Genomic DNA, 26,821 nt, shown 5'->3' on the forward strand with positions numbered 1-26,821 from the left:
TTGGAAGGTATATCACATTATCACATTAATTTGGATGAGACACAGGTCCCAAAGAAGAAATTATTTCAAGTGGAAAGTCAAGTATGTATGGAACTTAGCATGTCAACGGTTATTCTGTAGCTAGTTGAATTAAATAACATGTTTTAGGATACTAATTATGGCAGAAGCTAGATTTTTTATTTTCATTACAATGAATTATTTCCATTTTACTATCTCTATAATGTACTTATTTTTTTATATAGTGACTTTCATTCTACCATTTTGAAAAACCATTGCATACCTTTTCTCTTACAATATGTACCCTTGGAAAAGTTGAGAATTATACATCATTCCTCATAGAAAACTGACTTTTGTCCTGTTAAAACAGTATTTTTAAGTAATTTTTGTATTGCTCTGATGAGACAGGCCAGATTAAATCAGAGAAGAATGTTTCATGGAATGTTCCAGAAAATTGTCTTATTTCTTCACTTTTGTGAGTGGACACAGAATCTGTGTCTATTTATTTCACAGATTCTAGGATAACTTGTACAGAAAGGCCATTATACTATTCTTTTAAAAGTGTATGTTTTAGGTTAATTTACAAACTATTTGAAAAGTTAGGCATTTTCTTTATCTTTTATTTAAAATATACTATAAAACTGTGGAAATAATTAAATTTGAGATAACATGTACATCAAAAATTGAGAGTTGAGAAAATTATCTTGATCCTGCCTTTGGATTTTAAAAACAGTTTCACTGAGATATCATTCACATTTGAGAGAGTTCAACCATTTAAAATGTACAACTGAGTATCTATTAGTATATTCACAGCATTTTCATCACCCTGAAAAGCAACCCCACATCTCCTAGGCATGACTGCAGCCTTCCTCCATGTCCCTCCACCTACCTCTGCTGTAGGCAACCACCATCTATCTACTTTTGTCTCCATATGTTTGCCTGTTCTGCTTATTTCATATACATAGAGTTATACAATACGTAGTCCTCTGTGACTGGCTTTTTCACTTAGCATAATGTTTTCAGAATTCACTTAGCGTAATGTTTTAGCACACATTGGTAGTTTATTTCTTCTTATAGTTAAATGATGTTCTATTCCATGGCTATACTGGTTTTCCATTCATTCATCAGTTGATGGACCTTTAGGTTAGTTTCCACTTTTTAGCTCTTATGAAAAATGCTGCTGTGAACATTCACTTACAGGTTATTATGTGGACACAGGTTTTTATTTCTCTGCCATTGGACTTTATCCTCAGAGTTAATTGGGCAGATTTCAGCACTCGTCTTGCTCATGCTATTCTTTCTACCTTCTCAGTTTCTGTTCATCTAGCCACATTCACTCAGACGTGGCAGACAATTTATTGTTTTCATGAAGCTTTCTCTGAGTGTTCTCTCATTGACCTTATGTGTTAGCAATCATTGTCTAGTCTGTGCAGAAAAACTTAGTTCTTAATTTTACATGGCTTTTTTTATGGAAGATAATTTTCTCTCATTATAAATTTGCTTAATGGGGGAATAATATATAATATGTATGCCACCTATCCTTGCATACATTGAAAGTATTTTAGCTTAGAAGTTTGTAGCATACAATTCAATACTTTATACCATACCAATTATTTCTTCTTTGAGACCTTGGCACAGTAAGGTTTATATTCTAAGTGTGTTTTTAACAATTATATATCAAATCTAAACCAATTAGTTTAATACAGGAGACTTGTTAAATCACATATTTATGTTTTTCTCTCTATGAAAAAGAATCTAAATTGGCCTTTTTCACTATGCAGCAGAACTGTATTTCTGGACTGCTACCAGTTTGTCAGCTGAACAGTTCTGGGTGCAGCTTGTCCGATGACGGATAGCACAGCACCTCAATCTGAGTGCTCAGCAGAGTGCTTGTGAAGGCAGCACCACAGCAACAGTTGCTTAGAGGGAACGGATTCAGGAGCCTTGATTTAGCAATAGAGTCCAGGGTTTTCAGCTCAGTGTCTTTAGCCTGTCTCTGCTGGTCATGTCAGTTATGTACTATTCAATCCAGGAGGTGCTGTTTACATTGTAGTACATACATAGTCATTGCCTAATGAGTCATACAGAGAGAAAAGTAAGTTATAAATTATGTCCCCCATTTGCTGCAACTCTCAGTGGTAAGAATGATTCAGTGCAGCTATAGGAGAGTACTTCCATTGGCATGCCACCTGCCTAAAATACACAATTTTGTTAAGATATACAATAAAATTATTATGCTAATAGCAAATATTTTATGTAGCTCACTATGTTCCACGTAGTCTTCTAAGTGTTTCGTGTTAGTCCCCAGTTAAACACCTGGTTTTGGAAGGCTGAAGCAGGAGGATCGTTTGAGCCCATGAGTTTGAGACCAGCCAGAGCAATATAGTGAGACCCTGTCTCAAAAAAAAAAAAAAAATTAAACACTTATCTGAGGCATGGTGGTGCACGCCTGTAGTCCCAGCTACATTGGGAGGCTGTGGTAGGAGGGTCGTTTAAGCTTGGAATATTGAGGCTGTAGTGAACAGTGATCAAGCCACTGTGCTCCAGGCTGGGTAACAGAGAGAGACTCTGTCTCATAAATAAAACGTTTTGTATAGATTCCCATAGAAGTGAGTTAGACATCAGTCATAGAATTATTAGCCACTTTGATGTCTACCTTGGGAGTAAAACATATAATAAGGGGCAGTGTTAAACCATCTCAATCAATAGCCTCCAACTTCTCGAGAAGGTTCTTATTTCATGAATTTCTAAACAAGCGACTACCTGGATTAAGACATTTGGTGGACACCATTTTGAGATGAAGGATCTTGAGTGAGAAGAAGGGAGATTTCTACTTACTGAAGCTTCCCAATGACATAGTTAAGTGTCCCCCAAAAGAAACTTTAGAACAAGACTTTCATCATGCCATATCTCTATGGAAAAGGAATTTCTTTAAAAGAAAACAAAGGCAAACAATTGATAATATGATTCTCATGGGAAAGTTTTCATCATAAAAGAAAAAGAGGGCTGGGTGCCATGGCTCACGTCTGTAATCCCAACACATTGGGAGGCTGAGGTGCGTGGATTACCTGAGGTCAGCAGTTCAAAAACAGCCTGACCAACATAGTGAAACCCTGTCTCTACTGAAAATACAAAAATTAGCCAGGTGTGGTTGTGTACACCTGTAGTCCCAGCTACTTGGGAGGCCGAGGCAGGAGAATCACTTGAACCCAGGAGGTGGAAGTTGCAGTAAGCCGAGATGGTGCCACTGCACTCCAGCCTTGATGACACAGTGTGACTCCATCTCAAAAAAAAGAAAAAAAGAAAAACAAAAAAGGGACAAAGCATACTGGTCCGAAAAAGAAGAAAGCAAGAAAAAAAGGACAAAGTATACTGGTTAGTATCATAACAGTGAGATAGTCCCCCTTTGAGATTAGAAAATAACAGTATACTCAAAGTAACATTATTGAGAACCAACATAAAATAGACAACATTCACTATCTACAAAAGTAATCTGCACCAATTAGCAATGTATGAGCATGTGGTTGAGAATATTTTCTATAATATGTGTACTAGAAGGAAGAGACCTCAAGAAAATGGTCAGAGCTGGAAATGTAGATTAGGGAATCTAGGTCAAAGTTTTGAGATTTTAGGAGTCCTGAGAGAATTTAAAAAGAGAAATAGCCACCAGGCATGGTGGCCACACCTGTAATCCCAGCACTTTGGGAGGCCAAGGCAGGAAGATCATGAGGTCAGGAGTTCAAGACTAGTCTGGCCAACAAGTTTCTTATATAGGTAAACGTGTTCCATGATGGTTTGCTGCACCTATCAATCCATCACCTAGATATTAAGCCCTGTGGGCATTAGTTATTGATCTTGATGCTCTCCCTCCTGACCCCAACAGGCCCCAGTGTTTGTTGTTCCCCTCCCCGAGTCCATGTGTTCTTATCGTTCAGCTCCCACTTATAAGTGAGAAGATGCAGTGTTTGGTTTTTTCTTCCTGCATTCGTTTGCTGAAGATATCAGCTTCGGGTTCATCCATATCCCTGCAAAGAGCATGATCTCATTCATTTTTATGGCTCCATAGTATTCCATGGTGTATATATACCATATTTTCTTTATCCCATTATCACTGATAATGTCCATCTGGGTTGATTCCATGTCTTTACTATTGTGAATAGTGCTGCAGTGAACATGCAAATGCATGTATCTTTATAATAGAATAATTTATATTCCAACGTAGGGTAATTTTAAATCAGTTTTGGTATTAAAAATCATGCATTTTGGAAAATATTGATAATGGAAAAATCCAAATTCTGCCAAAATATGTTGAGAAAATAGAGGGTAAATATATCTTTTCAAACTTAAATGCCTCAGGCTCTTAGTTAATCTTCCCCAGATCTGGGAAGACCTAGAAGGTGGGCTACCTTAATGAGGGCCATTTCAATCTCTTGGCCCTGCAGCAGCTATTTCAAAATACATCAAAAATATATTTGAGGGTAAAATATTTTGATTTCCTTCAGCTTCTTCTCTCTGTGATGCTGCACCAGAATCAGATTAGAAAGGAAGCCACATTATAAGTGTTAATAAAACCCATCTGATGAGATTTGATAGTTTGAAGGGTGTGTTTCCCAGACCCTTTAGATAGAAATTGGGGCCAAAGAAAACAAGGTCTTATTCCTCTATATAAATCTGTCAGTGCTTTAAGCAGTGAAAGAAAGATTTTTCATTTAATTTTACAGACTTGATACTAATGAAAAGGATAGCTTGTAAAATATAAATCTCTTTTTCTATAAAAAGGACATGTTGTTGATTCCTTTAGACCTTGAACCCTGGCCAGTGATTTGAAACCAAGCAGTACCTATCTCCAGATCTCTAGTACCAAATTAATTTGGGGTGGGGGGTAACAGGTTTATTGAGAAATAATGAACACACCATGCAATTCACTCATTTAAAGTATAGAATTCATTAACTTTAGTATTTTCAGAGAGTTATGCCGTCATCATTACAATTAATTTTAGAACATTTTCATCACCCTAAAAACAAACCCCACAGCATTTAGCCATCTTCACTAGTTTTCCCTTCCTCCCTCAGCCCTAGGGAACCACCCACCTTCTTTGTATAGATTTGCCTATAAGCCTCTGAAATAAAAAGCAAGTGGTCTGCTGGGACTGGCTTATTTCACTTAGCATAATTTTTCATGCTGCATCTGTGCTGTAGCAGGTATTGATGCCGGGTTTTTGCTCCTTAGTTCAGCTACATCTGGGTTCTTCTCTCGTGACCAGGAAAAATTAAGCATGCAGACACATTGAGGAGGGCAGAATTTATTATGTGAAAGGACAGCTCTCAGCAAAGAGAGGGGTCCTGCAAAGAGGTTTCCACCTCACAATTGAATACCAGGATCACATGAGCTGAAGCGGCCAGGCTCCTCCTCTGCATAAGGCGTGAATTCCTGGTGACTCCACCCCATCCCCCCACTGCATGTGGGCCTCCGGTCTGCTGTGGGCATGTCCAGGCAAGACAAGTCCAGGTTCCCTTATCTGCACATAACATCTGGTGTAAACACTTGTGGGGCTGGTTGGAGATTCTCCAGGGACCCTTCCGTATCTGCCTAGGCATTTTGCTGTCTCCTCCTAATACGGTATCTGTACTTAATTTCTTCTTATTGCTGAGTAATATTCCATTGTATGGATACATCAAACATTTTGTTTATCCATTCGCCAGGTGATGGACCTTTGGGTTCTCTCCCACCCAAAGGTGACAGACTTTCTGGTTCTTTCCACCTTTTGACTACTATTAATAATGCTGCTGTAAACATTTATGTATGAGTTTTTGTGCTTGTGTATGTTTTTATTTTTCTGGAGTATATACTTATGACTGGAATTTCTGTGTCATATGGTAACTTCATGCTTAACCCTTTAAGGAGCTGCCAGTTTGTTTTCCAAAGTGGCTGCATCACTTTACATTCCCAGCAGCATTAGATAAGGGTTTTAATTTCTTTACATTTTTCCTAACACTCTTTTTTCTTGAACAAAGATTTTATCCTGTGGTGTGAAGTGATACCACATGTGGTTTTGATTTACATTTTCCTAATGACTAATTACATTAAGCATCTATTAATGTGCTTATCCATCTTTATATCTTCTTTGCAGATATATCTATTCAAAATCTTTGCCCATTTTTTAAAATTGGCTTATCTTGTTATTTATTAATTACAAGAGTTATTTATATTTCCTATATATGTAAGTCACTTATCAGATACACGCTTTTCAAATACTTTCTTCTACTTGGCGTCTTACCTTTTCACTTCTTCATACTGTCTTCTGAGGCACAGCAGTTTTCAATTTTGAAGTCTATTGAATCCATTTTTACTTTGGAGTCATAGCTAAGAAAACACTGGCAAATGCTGTCACAAAGATTTATGCCAGTGTTTTCTTCTGACAGTTTTATAGTTTTAGCTTTTACAGTTAACTATTTTATTTTGAGTTAATTATTAAATAAGATATTTGGTCGAACTTTATTTATTTTTTGCTTATGGATACCCAGTTGTCCCAGCACCATTTGTTGAAAAGACTATTCTTTTCCCATTTTGTTCTTTTGTTAAGCTTGTATAAAATCAATTGACTGTAAAAGTGCAGGCTTATTTTTAGATTGTCAATTCTTAGCTTGTTTATGTCTATTCTTATGTCAAGGCCCAATCGAATTGAATGAGAAGTTTTTTTCAATCATGTTGCATATTACCAGTTGTCTTATGTCATAATAAAAATTAAATTTAGTGGAATGTCTGTAACTTCACCTTTTGTGTCACAAAGGAGTCTCTGGTCAGCTTATACCTTACTTCCTCTAAGACATGATCAGACACCAGGCTTACAAGACACACTTAATTTCTTTTTTTCTCCATTCAAGCCTTTAGTCTCTTTTCCATTGCCTCCCACTATAGTTATATTTTCAGTAAGTTTTGGTTACAGGATCTGCTGACATAGTCTAATATTCAGTGCATTATGTTTTACTAACTCATTATAATTCATAGAACCTTCCATAGATGTTTACCATCTAGGAAGGAGAAGTTTAAGTCTGAGCCACCAGCTTTCCTCAGTGGAAATCAAGTGAAGTCATCATCTTGCAGTTTACAGACCCTCTTTCCTCCTGGTAGCTGGTTCTCTTGGGTAGCACTGTGGCTAATCCTTTTCTTAGTGCAGATCTTGCATTCTCAGAAACCACAGTTCCCTGTATTGACCTCCTTTTACTGAAACAGAGATGCACAGCTCTGCTTTCTAGCTCAGTAGAGGATTCTTGGAATAAAACGTTTAACTCATTCCAAGAAAAAGTCTTAGGAGTGCAGCACTTCAAAATCAGGTAACGTTCAGGCAATTTATCAGAGACACATAGTAGATTAGTATTTTGACTTTCAAAATTTCAGAGCCAAGTTGTGTGCTACAGAGAAGCATTGTGGCATAACATAGAGATGGGATGATCTTAACTTCTCCATACAAACAAGCTTGGAGTAAGGTAAAGGAGAAATTGCATTTGTGTCTTAACACTCAAAACACACTATGCTTATTTTACTTCTGTGAAGAATAAAAATCATTCCATAATATTCTCCTTATTTCCTCATTTAGAAAAGAAAATGAAAATTGAATACTAGGTTGATTAATAAATACTCAAAACTTCTTCTTTTAGAATTTTAGTTAATTGAAATCAGGTAAATGTCTGATTTTGCCTATGTCACCCAGTATTTCTAGTTGTTTTTCAAATCATACATCTTCTTGCTTCCCAGTCTTACTTCTTAACTTGAGGGGAAATTGTAAGAAGACACCCTTGCCTTGTTATCAGAGTTCATAATTGAAGGAGTTTTAGGAAAATTCCTCCTCAGCAGCTTATGTCTCTCTCCTGGTTATCTACTGCTTCTCAATAATGTTTGACATCATTAAATAAATATCAACATTTATTAGATCCTGCTTTAAAGGAGACTCTTTTCTGCTGCATAAGTTATGTTTCCTGTTGTCTCTTTTTAAAACTTATTTTCCTAACAATTACCCAGAGTCTTGTGGCTTGAAGGAAAAACATTTATTTTGTTCATGAACCTGTGGTTTGGGAAAAACTTGGCCAGGACAGCTTGTCTCTGCTCTCTTCAGCTTCCTTAGGAACAGCTGATCAGTTGGGGAAATGGAATCCTCTGAAGCTTTGGTCACCCACTTCTTTGATGGTTGATGCTGGCCATCGGCTGTAAACTTGGTTGGGACAGGCAGCATGAACACTGACACAGGCACTTTCAGGCTCTCTTTGTGGCCTGATGGCTCTCACAATTGGGGCTGGGTTCCAAGGGAAAACAGTCTGAGATAGGGAAGCCACATGGTATCCCTTTCACTACATTCAACTCATTAGAAGGAAGTCAGTAAGGCTGACCCATATTCTGTTTTTTAAATGGGATGAATGTACCTTCTCTTTTGTTTTAATTGACACATATATACATAATTATGGGCTATAGAGTGATATTTTTATACACGTATATAGTGTGTAATGATCAAGCTAACTAGCACATTTACTACTTCAACCATTTTTCATTTCGTTGAATTGTGAACATTGAAAATTTTCTGGCTTTTTAAAAATATACAATAAGTCATAGTTAACCATATTCACCCTACAATGCCACAGAACACCAGAACTCACTCCTCTTATCTAACTGTAATTCTGTATACATTAACCAGCCTCCCCTCCCCTACTTCTGTGAGCTTTTTTTTGTTAAGAGACTGGGTCTTGCTAGTGTAGTCTGGGCTCTGGGCAACTGTAGTCACCCAGACTGGAGACAGTGGTTTGATCATAGTTCACTGCAGCTTCAAACTCTTGGGCCCATCTGATCCTCACACCTCAGCCTCCTGAGCAGCTGGCATTATGGGCATGCACCATTGCACATGTCTGATTTTTGACTTTGTAGAGATATCTCCCTATGTTGCCCAGGGAGCTCTGGAACTTTGGCCTCAAATGATTCTCTTGCCTTGGTCTTACAAAGAGCTAGGAAATTACAGGCATCAGCCATATTTCCCAGCCTTCAATTTTCCTTTAGCTCCCTTACATGAGTAAGAATGTGCAGTATTTATCTTTCTGTGTCTGCACTTAACATAACATCCGTCAGACTGATCCACTTGGCCACGAATAACAGGATTTAATTCCTTTATACGGTGAATAGTATTCCACTGTGTTTGTGTGCCACAGTTTTTCGTCCATTCATTTGGTGATGGACATGTAGGTTGATTCCATACACAAGCTGTTGTGGATAGTGCTACAGTAAACATATGAGGACAGATATCCTTTTGATCTATTGTTTTCTTTTCTATTGCCTGAATACCCGGTAGTGGGGTTGCTGGATCCCTCGGCAGTCCCATTATTAGTTTTTTTGAGAAAACCTCCTGTTGTTCTCTATAGTGGCTGCACTAATTTACCTTCCCACCAACAGCATGTAAGAGTTTACTGTTCTCTGGAGCCTCACCAGCATTTGTTATTTTTTTTGTCTTTTCAATGACAGCAATTTATTCAAATTGAAGCAAGATTATATCACATTGTAGATTTGATTTGTATTTCCCTGAGGATTAGTGATACTGAGCATTTTAAAATTTACTTATTGGCTATTTGTATTTCTTTTTCTAAAAAAAGTATAGTTAGATATTTTGCCCAATTTTAAACTCAGATTTTTTTTACTGTGAAGTTGTTTGAGTTTTTTTGTATATTTTGTATATTAGTCCCTTATTAGGTGAATAGCTTGACAATATTTTCTCCTATTCTACAGGTTTTCTCTTCACTCAGTTGTGTGCTGGACAGAAGCTCTTTAGCTTAATGTAGTGTCTTTTGTCTATGATTTGTTGTTTGCCTATGCTTCTGATGTCTTACCCATAAAAATCTTTGTGCAGACTAATGTCCTCAAGCATTTTCCCTATATTTACTTAGAGTAGTTTGATAATTTTGGGCCTTACATTTCAGTCTTCAATCGATTCTGAGTTTATGTTGTTATATGGTGTTACATAGGAAGCTAATATCATTCTTCTCCATATGGATATTTAGTTTTCCCAGTGTCATTCATTTGAAGAGGCTGTCCTTTCCCCAGCGTATGTTCTTGGCATGTTCGTCCAAAATCAGTTGGCTGGAAATATGTGGATTTATTTCTGGGTGCCGTATTCTATGGTCTTTACCCCAAGAATCATTACTTCTTAAAATGCAATTCAAATTAGCATGAAACATTTGCAGTTTAAGGAAAAGCTTATAGCATCAGAATCCTTAATCATAGATTTCATTATTTTGTGTTGTTTTTTGAGATAGGGTCTTTGTCTGTCATCCAGGCAGAAGTGCAGTGATAATAATTCACTGCAGCCCTGAACTCTGGGTACAAGCCATCCTTTTGCCTCAGTATCCCAACTAGCTGGGTCTACAGGCATGAGCCACCATGCCCGGGTAATTAAAAAAATTTTTTTTTTGTAGAGATGGGGGTCTCACTATGTTGCTCTGGCTGATCTCAAATTCCTGGCCTCAAGTGATCTTTCTGCCACAGCTTTTTAAAGTGCTAGGATTACAGGCATGAGCCACCATACCTAATATAGAGTGTAATATCATTTTCAAAGTCTTATTCCTAGACCCATTTATTGACTTTGGCCTAAATAACTCAATATGATATCTCTGAAACTTTTTTTGACATACTGTGGGGAATGATAATGAAGGAAGGGGGTTAGACACTTTTTACTAGGAGATAACTTTGTGCCATTTAAGGAGGAACAAAAATGAATTATCAGAAAAATAAAAGTAAAATGAAGTACAAAAATTCTGTGGCAAAGATGATGATAGTAAAGAATATATTTTTATGACTCATGGTAGCTTTAACTTTGTTCTTAAAATTCTGAGTAATTTAAGGGTTCACATTTGAAGAATCTGCTGCATTACAGATAACATTTTATTGCAAATAAATGCATTTCAAAATTTGCTATTGGTTTTGTATTCGATTATTCTCAGCCTACTTAATTATCAAGCTATACTATTTTATTCATGCAGTTTGATGATCTTATGGCGGAGAAGGAAGCTGTATCTTCAAAATGTGTCAATTTGGCTAAAGAGAATCAAGTTTTTCAACAGGAGTTATTATCTATGAAAAAAGTACAACAGGAATGTGAAAAACTTGAGGAGGATAAAAAGATGTTGGAAGAAGAAATATTAAATCTTAAGACACATATGGAAAACAGTATGGTAGAACTTAGTAAACTACAAGAATATAAATCAGAGCTAGATGAAAGGGCAATGCAGGCAGTAGAAAAATTAGAAGAAATCCATTTACAGGTGAGTTGTTTAAATCAGATAAGTTTACTTGTAATGTGCTTTCATTTATTTCACTGCAAATTATATTTTGGAGATATATATTATATATATATATATATATATATATATATATATATATATATATATATATATATAGTGTTTCCTCTGCCTCTCTTGTAGCAATCTGCTTTGTAGAGTTCTAGAAAAAAAATGGTATCTGTTTTTTCTTTTAAATATTTAAATTTCCATTATTATTATAACAAAATCAATCTTTCAGAGTAATGATTCTCATTATGGAGTCATTTGATGATTAAGACCAGTTGGCATAGGAAAAAATTGTGATTTAGAAATTATGTGATAATTATGAATTGGTCTTAAGCTACAGTGTTCATTGATCACTTTTTAAAACTATGAATGGATTCTATTACTTTTTATATGACCAGATTACATTAATACTAGCATAATTATGATTTCAAATTTTTACAAATCAGACTTAATTCTGAATTCAGTTATTAGTTTTGATATTGCTGAAATATTTTAAACTTCATCCTCTTTTTTAACATATTCAAAAATACTCTTTGAATCACTGACTCAAAATGAAAGGCAACAAACATAATAATTAGGTTATAATTGTTTTAAAAGTGTATTCTTTTCCTTTGTTTTAGGAACAAGCACAACATAAAAAACAATTAGAGCAGTTAAACAAGGATATAATACAGCTTCACTAAATAAGAAGGAACTCACACTTAAAGATGTGGAATGTAAATTCTACAAAATGAAAACTGCTTATGAAGAGGTTACAACTGAGTTAGAAGAATATAAGGAAGCCTTTGCAGCAGCATTGAAAGCTAATAGTTCCATGTCAAAAAAATTAACTAAGTAAGTCAAAACATACACTCATAGAAAATGAATTAAGCTCATTAATTTGTTTCAAAAGCATAATTTTTAGTGAGATGGCTTCAGGAGATTAGAAGGAAGTGAATGCTAATTTGACAATGTAATTTTGAAAAATAATGTGAGTAAATAATTTTACCTTTAAAATGTTAGTCAAAGATAGTTTTTGTCTCTCCTCTCATTTTTTTTTTGCTTTTGTATGGCTTTTTTTCCTGAAAAGTCTCATGTAATTAACCTGATCTGTTAGTTTTTTTCACTAAGTATTTCTGAAGCTTTATAATTAATGAAGTGATCTTGTTATAAAATTACTTGTCAGAATTTCCCTAAATAGAAATATTAATGTGTTTAATTTACTTTTCAGTGGATCACAACCTAAATGCAAAGTGGTACTGTTACTCTGGGCACAATTGTTTTTGATTGTGATCTTTAGTATTATCACCAGAGGGTGCCTCAAGAAAGACTATTTGTGTAACATATTCAAGATGTTACAGAAAGGCACCCTTGTGAAATAGGGAATAATTATCACAGGAATTTAAAGAAGTGTAATTCACAAAGAGGTTAAAAAATAACACCTTGTTCAGCCTGAAGCGGTGTGTGGAAGGCAGAAAGAACATGCCCCACCTCCAGGGCCTTGGTCACAGTGTTGGGGACTAATTGCCTTCAGAGATGCTTTAGTTCTTTTTGATCACCAACCAGACAATCTAGTTCTCCCCTAGGAGTTGTTGCTCTGAATTATTCCTCAGTGCCAAATGTTTAATTGGTCCTAGATAATGGGTGAAATGTACAAAAGTGAAATCTAAAACTGGTTTACTAAACACAAGTATTCCTAGATTTTTTTTCGTTCATTTTAGTTTTCTTAACCTACATTAAGGAGTATAACATGATGTTTTGATATAATTATTTCTAGTGAAGTGGTTCTTATAATCAAGCAAATCAACATATTCATTTTCCCACATTATTACCCTTTAAATACAAGTATTTCTAATGGAATCTTCAGAATCTTACAAGTAGAGCCATTTTAGAAGGCAGGAAGTTTTACCTGTTGAGCCATACATCACTGATAGTCATTTCTCTTCCCTGTCTACTTTGTTTGAACTGCTTGTTCAGTAGAAATCACCTTAGAAACAATGGTGCTTCTTTAGAACGATTTTAAAATTATAATTCCTTACAACAGGTATGCTATTACACATCTTCTGTGTGAAAACACTATTTAGTGGGTAATTTGGTTTACTCTCAGGGTAAGTTTTTAAAAACTGAAAGTCATTAAGAATCATTTAAGGAAAAATGAAATATTAAACATTTGTCTTTGCTATCTTTACAGATCGAATAAGAAAATAGCAATGATCAGTATCAGCTCTTTATGGAGAAAGAGCAGGTGAAATATTTTCTCAGCACTCTTCCTAGAAGGCAAGGTCAAGAGTCACCTTGTGTTGAAAATCTTACTAGTATAGGACTCAACAGAAAATATATTCCCCAAATGCCCATAAGAATTCCTACTTCAAACCTCAGACTTCAAATAACTGCCAGAACTACTTGACTGAGGTTAGTTATATGACCGTTTCTCTTTAGGGTTTCATTTCTCTAGCGTAATTCTTGTTTATAATTTGGTGAAATACTGAGTTGTTCTGTTGACTTTTGCATGTGAAGTAAAGATCATAATTAGCTGTGTTAACACAGAAAGGAAATGGGAACTTTACATTTTTTAATTCCCTGGAGCTCTCATTTTCAAGAGATATCCATTTGCTAACTTTATTCAATAAATGTGACTAAACTGACACGTTTGAAATGTCTTTAAAAGCTGCATTTAAGTTAGGTTTTAGAAATTGCATGTTATTGCCTGATAACTGATGATATACTTTGAGATGTTTTGGCTTACTCTCTAATTGATTGTAGTTTAGCTGTGGTTCATACCACATTTTTTTTTTCTTTTTTTTGAGGCAGTGTCTCACTCTGTCATCCAGGCTGGAGTGTCTTGGTGCCATCTCCACTCACTGCAACCTCCACCTCCCGGGTTCAAGTGATTCTCCTGCCTCAGCCTCCTGAGTAGCTGAGACTACAAGCACCCACCATTACACCCAGCTAATGTTTGCATTTTTAGTAGAGACAGGGTTTCACCATATTGGCCAGGCTCTTCTTGAACTCCTGACCTTGTGATCTGCCTGTCTGAGCCTCTCAAAGTGCTGGGATTACAGGCATGAGCCACCGCACCCGGCCCATGCCACTTTTAAAGTTTCTTTGCACCAGCCAGGTGTGATGGCTCATTCCTGTAATCCCAGCACTTTGGGAGGCTGAGGCAGGTGTATCACGAGGTCAGGAGTTCAAGACCATCCTGGCCAAGATGGTGAAACCCCATCTCTACTAAAAGTACAAAAAAAAAAAAATTAGCCTGGTGTGGTGGTGGGCACCTGTAATCCCAGCTACTAGGAAGGCTGAGGCAGAGAATTGCTTGAACCTGGGAGACGGAGGTTGCAGGAGCTGAGATTGCACCACTGCACTCCAGCCTGGGTGACAGGGCAAGACTCCATCTTGAAAATAAAAAAAAATTTTTAAAAAGTTTATTTGCACCATCTCAATTCTTCCCACCCATAATCACAAATGAATGATTGGCATCCAAACACTTTGCCACATATGGATGTTTATTATTTAGTAGAATCCAAAATAATTGCATTTTATGAATTAAACAAAACACTAAAATGTTCATTTCCATTTTTATGTTAAAAGCTTTGTGCTTGGCCAGGCATGGTGGCTCACACTTGTAATCCCAAAATTTGGGGAGGCCGAGGCAGGTGAATCACCTGACGTCAGGAGTTTGAGACCAGCCTGGCCAACATGATGAACCCTGTCTCTAGTAAAAATACAAAAATTAGCAAGGTGTGTTGGCAGGCATGTGTAATCTCAGATACTCAGGAGGCTGAGGCAGGAGAATCACTTGAACCCAGGAGACAGAGGTTGCAGTAAGCCAAGATCATACCACTGCACTATAGCCTTGGTGATGGAGACTCTGTCTCAAAACAAAACAAAAAAAAGGTTTGTGCTTTCCTTACATAAGAGTACATCTTCTGACTATAAAAATCCTGGAAGAAAACCTAGGAAATACTCTTCTGGATATCATATTTGTCAATTAATTTATGGCTAAGTCCTCAAAAGCAATTGCAAGAATAACAAAAATTGACAAGTGTGATCTAATTTAGCTAAATAGCTTCTGCACAGCATGAGAAACTATCACGGGATTAAACAGACAGCCTAAAAGAATGGAAGAAAATATTCACAAAGTATGGATATAGCAAACGCCTATTATCCAGAATCCATAAGAGACCTAAACAAATCAACAAGCCAAAAATAAATAAGACCATTAAAAATGGGCAAAGGACATGAACAGACAGTTCTCAAAATAACACACGTAAGTGGCCAACAAACATTAAGAAATGCTTACCATTGCTAATCATCAGAAAAATGCCAAACAAAACATCAGTGAGATACCATTTCACACCAGTCACAATGACTTTTGTTAAAAACAAATAATAAATAAAAACTTAAAAAAGGATGTTGGGATAGGCTGTGGAGAAAAGGGAACACAAACCGTTTGTGGCAATGTAAATTAATTCAGCTACTATGGAGAGCAGTTTGGAAATTAAGAACTAAGAATGACTGTTGGATGCAGCAACCCCATTACTATACTAGGGGTATACCGAAAGGACAATAAATCATTGTAACAAAAAGATGTATACACATGTATGTTCATTGCAGCACTATTCACAATAGCAAAGACGTGGAGTCAATCCAGGTACATCCAAGGTAGATTGAAAATCCAAGGTAGATTGGAAAATTCCATATATACCATGGAATACTATGCAGCCATGAAAAGAACAAAATCACGTCATTTGCAGCAACATGAATACAGCTGGAATCCACTCTCCTAAGCAAACCAACGCAGAAACAGAAACCAAATATCTCATGTTTTCACTCATGTGGGAACTACATATTGGGTACACATTGTCATAAAGGTGGGAATAATAGACACTGGGAAGTAAGAACAGGGAGGGACAGAGTGGGCCAGGGTTGAAAAACTACTTCTTGGGTCCTATGCTCACAACCTGCAAACCTCGGTATCCATCGATATGCCTTTGGAAGAAACTTACAGAGGTACCACGTTAATTTAGAATACAAACTAGAAAAAAAAAGAAAAGTTTACTATAAGTAGAGAACAGAAATTTCTTTTTAAGATAAAATTTATTGAAGTAAAAAATGGATTAAACTTTTATAAAGGGCAGAGTTTTCTAAGAATTTCAAAGCAATGCATTCATTGCAAAAGATGGCTTTAATTACTTAATCTTTTTTTTTTTTTTTTTTGGGAGACAGGGTCTCACTCTGTCACCAGGCTGGAGTGCAGTGATGCAGTCTTGGCTCACTGCAACCTCCACCTCCTGGCTTCAAGCAATTCTCCTGCCTTAGTATCCCAAGTAGCTGGGACTACAGGTGCACATCACCACGCCCAGCTAATTTTTGTATTTTTAGTAGAGATGGGGTTTCCCCATGTTGGCCAGGATGGTCACGATCTCCTGACCTTGTGATCTGCTTGCTTTGGCCTCCCCAAGTGCTGGGATTACAGGTATGAGCCACCATGCCTGGACATTGTTTAACCTTTGTACTAATAAAACACTACCTTTCTAAAATCATGTATATGCAATAGATCAATATTAACTGCATTTTTGTCAGATTACTCTAAACAGCATTACACATATACATCCTCTGTTATCTAAACTTAAAATAAGTAGAAATTTTATTTTATTTATGTGATTATTTTTCTATTTAAGCAAACTTCAAGTTATGTCTAGTCACTAAAAATACTAAAGGCCACATTTTGTAAGTGATACATGATTTTCATGATAATGTTTCTTGTTTAATTTAGACATTATTATTATTTTTACTTATTTTAGATGGGGCCGGACTGTGTAGAATAAATAATTAGAGAAACAAAGAGAAGTACGTTGACAAAATTTATTAATTAAATTTAGGTTTATTTTAGAAATAAAGTGTAAATAGCAAATGGCATTCCTTTTCATTCTTGGGTTAGTAGATACTACATCAATATTTTTTTTCTTACACACCTCTAATGAAAGATGTGAAAACAAAAACTTTCACAGAGAAGACTGTACTTATGCACCATAAATTCATCATGTTCCAAAGCTTAAACAGTTCCCAAGAAGTCTGTGCATCTCTTTTTCACTGGTTCTACACTTTCTTAAGTTTTGCCATCCTCATGGAACTGTCAGCCAGCACACTGAAACGATTCTCAGAAAACAAAAGCATCATCAAGTTCTCAGGGTTTTGGTAGAGATTGAAGGCCAACAGACCTAAGACTCATTCAGAAATACTTAGCTGAGCAATAACCCTTCATAAGCACTCACTTAACAGGTGACATTTTAAATCTCCTCTAATTAACTGTGTCATTGGCTTACACTTGTTCTCAGGAAAAGTTCCAAATTTTTCACCATGAAATAAAAACACCCATGTCAATGTAATTCTTGTCAAGTTACTCAGCCTTGTTTCTCACCACTTACTGCACTCTGCCCTTTGCTCTAGCACCAAACTGGATGGAGTGGAACTCTGCAGGGCTCTTCCTCACCTCAGGCTCTTTGCCTTTGCCTCTTTCCTCTATCTGGGAAGCTTTTCCTTGTCCTTCAGGTATCAACCTATGTTATCTCCTCCACCAGAAAGCCCATGATATTGACATAAAAGTGGATAGATGTCCCTTCTCTGTGTTCCAGTAGTGCCCTGCTGTATACCTGTCATGGTATCTATGACTCTATATGGACATTGCCTGCCTGTCTGTTTTTTAGATTATAGCTTATGACTGTTGAGAGGTGGACCATGCCATCTTCATCTTGTAATTCCAGTGCTGGTTCGAGTACCTTAGCATGTGGCTGTTGATTACATGAATGAAGACTGAAAAAGCTCTGATATTTAAACACAATTAGAATTAATGCCATGTGTAAATTATTAAATAGTAATTTTGTATTGTAAATGTACATACATATTTCTCATTCTTATTAACTCTGATAAAGTTCTCAAGTCTTTAGTTTTTAAACTCACACTTAGTTAACTGAAGTGTTTTAGGTAAAGAACAAAATTCTTTATTTTTCTTTCCAGCTGTTGCTGTACTGGACACTTGCTCCCATCTACTTTCTTCTCTGGAATCCACGGGTAAGCCACATCTAATGAAGAGAATATTTAACCATAAAGTCTTAAGGAAAAATTGTATGATGATTTAAAAGATTATAAAACTTTATTACTGGGCTATTTACACATTTTAATTGTTTCTCATAAAATATATAAAATTCCAATATTTACTGAAGTAGGATATTTTTGTATCATATGTATGATTATAATTTATAGGGTATTTTAAATGATGTTTTTTGGCCTCCTTAAGTTTTAAGTGGATCTTGCAAATGAAAACAAGTATTATTGAGTTTGACATACTCAAATTGCCCAAATGTCAGCTGTTTAAATAACCAAGTCATCATTGATACTTTAGTAAAGGTTAGTAAAGGTCATCGAAGGCTTATTTGCATTTTACAGTTTTTATTACTTAGGAGACTTAAGGAGTACCTGCCAGGTTTGTCCATGCTAATGTTACAATTTTCTTTCTGTAGTTCAACCGTATTTGGTATGGAGATACTTTGAGGCTCTGTAAATATCTGGTTATTCCTCAGAACCCACTAGATTTAGCATTTCGTGGATGACTTGTGTTTGAACAATTATTACTATGATGGTTACCAGATGATTATTTTCTTATTCTCTTCTTTGTTCTACATGGAGAAATAAAACCAATAAATAAGGGAGAAGGAAAGCTCATGATTCTGATGCTCCAATTCCCCAAGATTAGGCCAGTAGTAGACATTCCAAGCTGACTTTATGTCTCTTTGATTTGTCTCCATTACTCTGTCGGCACTTTTTTACTTTCTGGCAGAAGATGTTCTAAGCTCAGCTTGTATTTTCTCTGCGCCAGCTCTGGAATGAGTCATTTTTTTTAGAAGCAGAGGTGGAGACACTGAGGAAGCACAGGTGAGCCCTCCCCAGTGTGTACTCACTGGTCCCCAACAGAAGAACCACTGCCACATCCACTGAGGTGCCAAGAAACTAGCAAAGGGCCTTCTGGCTGTCTGGGGAGAGTCCTCATGGGGTCCCTGGCTGTCTCAGAGGTTCTGGATTAGTCTTCCGGTAGCCTCTGTGTTGTGTCTTTAGATCGGGGCTCTGTGGGAAGGGCCCTGAGAGACCCAACAGCACAGCGTGCCTTATCTGCTAAATGTCCCTCCCTTCCTCACACTCTGACACTCAGGAATAGGGTAGATGGTGTGTCCAGGCAGTGTCAGGCCACCTCACTTTCTCCTTTGAGACGGGCCCAGAGGGCCTTTGGGGTGAGTGTGGAGCTGGGAACCTGGAGCCTGAGGCCAACTGTCTCTCCCTGTGTCTTGGAGGAAAGGCCATGTCCCAAAAAAAACCCCAGGGCCTGACCTCTGGGCACACATGCAGGGAGGGAGGGTCTATGAGCTGAGGGGGACATTGTAATGAGACTTTGAGCCCCGTTGCTCCGGGGCCTGGTCAGTGGACCATGGTCAGAGATGACCTGGTCATCAGGACCTAGTCATTTGGGACATGATCAGCAGGGGCCTGGTTAGTGGCGGCCTCCTCAGTAAAGGCCTCATCAGTGGGGACCTGGTGACCTAGCCATTGGAAGCCTGGTCAGTGGGGGAACCTAGTCAGTGGTGGCCTTATTAGTGGGGCCTGATCTGTTGGAACATAAACAATGAAAAACTGGTTGGTGGGGCATACACGATATATCATGGGCCTGGTCAGTGTGAGGCCTTAGTGGCTTGGAGCCTGGTCAGTGAGGGCCTGGTCAGAGGGGGCTCGGTCAGCTGGGTACTCGTTCATGGAGAATTGTTCAGTGGGGGGTCGGGTGAGCAGCAACCTGGTAAATTGTGGTCTTGTCAGTGGGAACCCGGTCTTGTCAATGGGGACCAGGTCAGTGGAAAATTGGTCAGTGGGGTCTGGCCCATGAAGCCTATTAAGTGTGGGCCTGGTTAGGAAGACATGGTCAGTGGGGACTTGATCAGTGGGACCTGGTCAATGGAGGAGTGGTCATTAGGGGCCTCATCACTCATCACTGGGAACCTGGTCAGGGGCAGTTGGTCAGTACCTGGCCTGCTGGCCACTATGTGACCTCAGGCAGGGGGGTTGTCTGTGGAGCCTCCTTGCCTCCATCTGCAGGGAAAGTGAGTTGGGGCACCCTGGAGGGTGGCTGGAAAGAGAAGGTGAGAAGATGTGTTGAATCCAATACTGCTTGGCAGACCTACAACTTTACAAATGACCTGTGTTCCACCTAGAGAGGGTGCCAGCCCTCTCAGCATTATGCAGTGCCCCTCCTCTGTCTGCATCCCCAGGACCACCATGGGTGGGGAGGGTAGAGATTGGGGAGCACCTATAGAGTCTCTAATGCTCTAAGGTGACAGTGATGAGGACCTGGGTGCACCCATGAGTGGAGAAGCTAGGCCTGTCCAGAGAAGCAAGACAAACACACACATACACACACACACACACACACACAGGCACACATGCATACACAAATACATTGCATACACACATGTCAGTTCAGGGGATAGAGGACTCTGACTCTGGGCCCTGTTGACCCAAGCAGACTCCCATGGTGGTGGGTTGTGTCACCCCACAATGTCACTGTTGCTGAGTCCCCATCGCCTCTGTGTTGTGGAGCAGTTAGAGACACACAGCAGTGTCTGTGAGTAGCTCTGCGTGAAGGACCATTTTCTAGATGAGAGGCACATCTCAACACAGCTCACTGATCAGATTCAGGTGAGTGGGACCTGCTCTTTTCTCTTCCTCCTGGCTTGGGAAAAGTCACTATCAGGTGGATGGTTTTGGCCTCTGGGCAGCTACCGAGGGTAATCCCTGAACACTCACCAGCTGCCTGTTATGTGCTGACAGTCATCTCATTCATCCTCGCAGCAATTCCATTCTGCATCTTTTCTGATCACCTCCGTGACCACACAGGACAACCCCATCAGGGCCCTGTCACCAGGCCCAGTCTAGCTCCATGATAACCAAGACACACGTCCAGAGACAATCGTCCTACATTGTGCCTGCATCTGACCCCCCTTGGTAGGTAGTGACCAGCACAACATGGAAGAAGCCAGGGCAGCTTGCAGCCAGCTGCTCTGCAGCCCCAAATGGCTCCTGGGCCTTGGGAAGTCATTCATAAAGGGGAAGCTGGTCACTTTGAGGTCCCTGAAGGGAAGGGTGAACGTGCATCCCAACAGCCCTGGCAGCCAACAGCATGCCATACATATTCTCACCCAACGTGTGTGACAGAGGTCCCCTCCTGGGGCACAAGTCCCATACCTAAAGCATCCTGTCCCAGTCGGACCTCATCCTGAGCCTTGGGAGGGGAGGGGCACCATGGGCCCCCCTGCAGCAGCCAGGATTACCACCCAGGGGACTCGGCCTTCTGTGGCCCTGGCCAGACTTAGAATTTGGCCCAAGACAAACTTACTCGGAGCAGCTTCTCAGTACCTGGGGCCTGTGCATGCCAGGCAAGGCCAAGCTGGCTCAAAGAGCAACCAGCCACCTCTGCAAGGGTGTGCCAGGAGCAGGTGGAGCAGTCACCAACCTCACCCACTCAAGGAAACAGGGATGGCCAGTTTCCCACAGTCTGAGTGACCACCACCTGACAGCTGATGGAGTGGAGGACTGAGGAAAAGCAGATGGCACTGGGGCTCCACCTCCAGGGCAGAAAAACTGATTTGCCCTGACTGGCAGGGAGTGACGTTGGTGGCTGGTCCACTGGCTCCTGGCACACCCTTGCAGAGGTGGGTGGTTGCTCTTTGAGCCAGCTTGGCTTTGCCTGGCATGCACAGGCCTCAGTGCAACAAATGTGCTGCAAATGGAGCCACATAGAGGAAATGAGCAGCAGGCTCAGAACTGGGGTGTGTGCCGCCTTTGGGTCTCCAGTCCAAGCATCGGGGCTTCTACAGCACTGTGGGCTTCTCGGGTGCCAAGAGGCAGACCACAGGCCATCTTGAGGAGGACTCTGGTAAGAGCTTCCTTGTGTATGTGGATGATGTCCAGAATGTTGGCCTGGTGTTCCTGAGACAGCACTAACAGGTCCATGACTGGGTCCAGATCCTGCCTGGGTTGATGGGCAAAGAGCTCACTGACAGTGAGGAAGGCATCTATGGTGAAGTGGATCTATGTTCATGTGTAGAAAGGGCCCAATCTTGTAGATGAACCACACAGCCAGCTTCTGGATGCAGGTGCAGTGCCACATTTTTTGTCACTTCCTGATGTGCCCCACCAGCACTGAAGAGATAGCCTGGAGACAGGGCAAGAGGAAGGCTGAGAAGGATGAGATGGTGAGTGCCAGATTCTTCCTGGCCCTGAGCCCACCCCCAGTGTGACACTCAATTTTAGGAGTGGAAGAGCAAGATTGACAGCTTCAAGTGCTTCACCAAGAAGATGGACAACAGGGCACTCAGCTCAACTTCACAGCCAATGAGTGGTGGCAGGATTTGAGAAAGAGCATCAGAAGCCTGACAGTTCTTCTTCAGCCTCAGCCAGGCCTTGGAGCTGGACCAGGCCATCCACTTCAGTATAGATGCCTCCCACTCTGTCAGTGAGCTCTTTGCCAGTCAGTCCAGGAAGGACCTGGACCCAGCCATAGACCTGTTAGTGCTGTCTCAGGGACACCAGACCAACATCCTGGACATCATCCACATACACAAGGAAGCTCTTACCAAAGTCATGGAGAGCAGGCAACATGTGGCAGAAGGGAAGACAGAGGTGCAGAGGCTGATGACGTCAGAATCACAGGAACAGGATTTCTTTGGCCACTTTGGCTGAAATTCACCACTTCCATCCAATTCCAGTGAGAGATATGGACTCACAGATGCAGCATTTCTTGCAACAAGAGATACTACTTTTTCAAAAAGTCACCCAGGAATTGATAGTGTTGAATGCCTCGATACTCGATCGTGGACGGTTTCCAGTTCAAGGATACTTTCTACAGCAGAATAATAACACTAGCAAAGAGCTAGTACAAGGATGGTTTTGTGCTCAACTGAAATCCAGCTGAATACAGAATTGTATAGGAAACAGTTAATATGGTGATAGAATAGAAACAGTAGCAATCGTGAACTAAATCATACTATGAATGCCTAAACTACTGCTGTAACTTTTGGAAAAATGATAATACCACTTTATTGCTTTTTGAAGTATGAATATTTTAGTGTATATGCTCTAGACTTCAAACTCTATAAAGAGTCTCAAAGAAGTTGGCTGGATAAAGCCTGCTGTAGATGTCTTTATATTCAAAGATTGATGATGCAATTTGAATATGTGTCCCCACCGAATCTCATGTTGAATTATATTTCCTAATGTGGAAGGTGGATCCTGGTATAAGGTGATTGAATTATGAAGGCAAATTTCTCATGAATGGTTCAGCACCCACCCCTTGTACCATCCTCACAATAATGAGTGACTTCTCATGAGATGTAGTCACTGAAATCTCTATATCACCTCCCCACTCTCCGTGTTTTCCCCTTGCCATGTGAGACAATTGATTCTTTCTTTGCCTTCCATGATTATTGAAAGATTTCTGAGGCCTAGAAGCAGAAGCACTGTGCTTAGAACCATGAGCCAATTAAACCTCTTTTTCAAAATAAATCATACAGAAAATGGCAAATGAGGACTGGAGCGTTGCTTTAAAGATACTTGGAAATGTGGAAGCAGCTTTGGAACCAGGTAATGGACGGAGGTTGGAAGAGTTTGGAGGGCTCAAAAGAAGACAGATGAGAAAACTTTTGGACCATCTTAGAGTCTGGTTCAATGGTTGTGACAAAAATCCTGACAGAAACATGGACAGTGAAGGCCAGGCTGAGGAGGTCTCAGAGAGAAATAAGAAGCTTTCTGGAAAATGTCTTCCTTTTGGATATGGAAAGCTTACACAATGCCTGCTTTTTATTTCAGAGACTCATAGGCAAAAGAGACTGTAGCCTTGACCCAGATGAGACTTTAGACTTTATAACTTTGAGTTAATCCTGAAATAAGTTAAGACTTTGGGAGACTGCTGGCAAGACATGTTTGTATTTTGCAATGTGAGAAGGACATGAGATTCATCGGGTCAAGGACAGAATAATATGGTTTTTGTCTATGTCCCTACCAAAACTCATGTGGAATTATATTTTGTAATGTTACAGGCAAGGTCTAGGTGGAAAAAGATTTAGTCATAAAATGGTGCAGGTAGATACTTCACGAATGATAAAGAACCATCACCTTGATGCTATCCTCCTGACAATGAGTGAGTTCCCATGAGATCTGGTTGTTTAACAGATCTCATCCTCCTGCTCCTGCTTTAGGAGACATCTCATTGTCCCTTGGCTTTCTGATATAATGAGGAGGCTTCCTGATTCCTCCCAGAAACAGAAGACACTATACTTCCTTCACAGCTTGCAGAACCATGAGTCAATTACACCTCTTTTATTTACAATAATACAGAAAAGTAGAACTGCAGAGAGGAGCTGTGAAATGCCTTCAAGGCCTTTTTCCCTTTGTTTTGGCTATTAGCACAGGGCTTCTTTATATACAAATTTCTGAAATCTTCCTGAATGTTTCCCCTTAAATGGGATTTTTGTTATTGCATCATAGCCAACCTGCTATACAGATTTCTGAAAAAGTAGAAGCAGACTCAGTAGTGGGTAGCAAACAAAGATTGGAAGGGTTTGGAGGGATTAGATTATGACAGGGAGTGGGAGGGAGTGATTTAATCATGGATGGGTGGGGGTGTATGTGGAAGGGAAAAAGGGGTGGGTAGGGTGGAAGGGAAAAAGGGGTGGATAGGGTGGGAGGGAGTAGACTGGCTGTACGGTGGTGGGAGGGTGGTGGGTAGTAGGAAGGGGTAGTAGCCTGCTGCAGAGGCAGAGTCTCATGGAAAATCCCTACTAGGGAAGCGCACCTGTGGCTTTGCAGGTTTGAGCCCCAATGGCTGCTCTCATGGACTGGACTAGTGTTGAGTGCCTGTAGCTTTTCCACACGGAGGGTGCAAGCTGTTGGTGGGTCTATGTATCTGGGGTCTGGAGGGTGGTGGCCCCCTGCATGGGGGCTCCAAGTCCATATTTTCCTTCTGCACTGCCCTAGTAGAGGTTTCCCAAGAACGCTTCATCTGCAGCAGGCTTCTGCCTGGAAACAGTGGGAGTTGGGGGTGGGAGGCAGATCCTTCACCGATGGTTAGGCAACATCTTCTTGATGCTGTCTTCATGATAGTGTGTTCTTATGAGATCTGGTTATATAACAGGGGGTGGCACCTCTTTCCTCTCTCAGTATTTCTTCTACCCCTGCCATTTGAAACATCTCATTGCCCCTTGGCCTTCTGGTATGATTGGAAGGCTTCCTGATCTGATCCTCCCAGAAGCAGAAGCCACTGTGCTTCTTTTACAGCCTGCTGGACCGTGAGCCAATTAAACCTCTTTTCTTTATGATCATGCAGAAAATTAGTACTATGAAGTGGAGCCATGAAATGCCTTCAAGGCCCTTTCCCCTTTGTCTTGGCAACCAGCACTCAGCTTCTTTTCATGCAAATATCTGAATCCTTCATGAACTTTCCTCCTGAAAATGGACTTTTCTGTTTTACCACATTGCCAGGCTGTGATAAAGATAGCTGACAATGTAGAACCAGGTTCAGAAGTGGGTAAAAGACAGAGGTCAGAAGAGTTGGGAAAGCTTAGAAGACAGCAAGATGAGGAAAATATTGGACCACTATAGAGAATTGTTAAATACTTGTGATAGGAAGGCTGACAAAAGTGTAAACACTGAAGTCCAGACCTAAAAGTTCTCAGATGAAAATGAGGAATTTCCTATGAACAAGAGACAAGATTACATTTGATTGGCCTTAGCAAAGAAGCTGGCTGCATGGGGACCCTGCCCTGGAGATCTGTGAAACTATGAACTTGGGGGTGATGATTTAGGATGTATCTGGTGAAATGAACATCTAGGCAGCATAGCACAAGAGGTGTCCTGCCTACATTAAACAGCTTGTGTTCTTATGGGTGACCTAAGAAGTGACTTCAAGTTGGAACTTCAAGTGGAGATCTAAAGTTTGGAAAATTTGGAGCCTGGCTAAGTGGTCAAAAAGAAAAGCCGATTTTGCGGGGGAAAATTCAAGAAGGCTTAGGGTATTTGTATAAAAGGAAACCCAGTGCAAAAAGCCAAGACAGTGGGAAACCGGCCTTGAAAGCATTTTAGAGATGTCTGCAGCAGCCTTTGCTGTCACAGGCCCTGGGGCCTAGGAGAAAAGAATGGTTTCCTAGGCCAGTCCCATGGCTCTGCTGCTGTGCTCAACCGCAGGACACTGCTGCCGGCATCCGTGCAGCTCCAGCACCAGCCATGGCTGAAAGATGCACAGGTAAACTTGGGTCATTGCTTCAGAGGTGGCTCAAAGTCTTGATGGTTTCCATATAGTGTTAAGCCAGTAGGTGCACAGAGAAAGAGATTAGAGGCTTGGGAACTCCCGTCTAGACTCCAGAAGATGCACAGAAAATCCTGGATGTTCAGGAAGAAGCTTTTCCAAGAGTCAGAGCTTCATGGGGAA

The 26,821-nt window shown here is 39.9% G+C and overlaps 1 long non-coding RNA gene across 1 annotated transcript in view; it reads left to right on the plus strand.

The window, feature by feature from the left end:
- The first annotated feature begins 5,555 nt into the window (after positions 1–5,555).
- The window catches only part of LOC102723769 (uncharacterized), a 59,129-nt gene continuing 37,863 nt past the window's right edge, over positions 5,556–26,821 (plus strand). Inside the window, exons 1-2 of the long non-coding RNA NR_110761.1 lie at positions 5,556–5,617; positions 18,316–18,369. This is a non-coding gene — a long non-coding RNA (uncharacterized LOC102723769). The remainder of the gene's footprint in view (positions 5,618–18,315; positions 18,370–26,821) is intronic.

Source organism: Homo sapiens, chromosome 22 (assembly GCF_000001405.40).
Source record: "Homo sapiens chromosome 22, GRCh38.p14 Primary Assembly".
NCBI classification, from domain to species: Eukaryota; Metazoa; Chordata; class Mammalia; order Primates; family Hominidae; genus Homo; species Homo sapiens.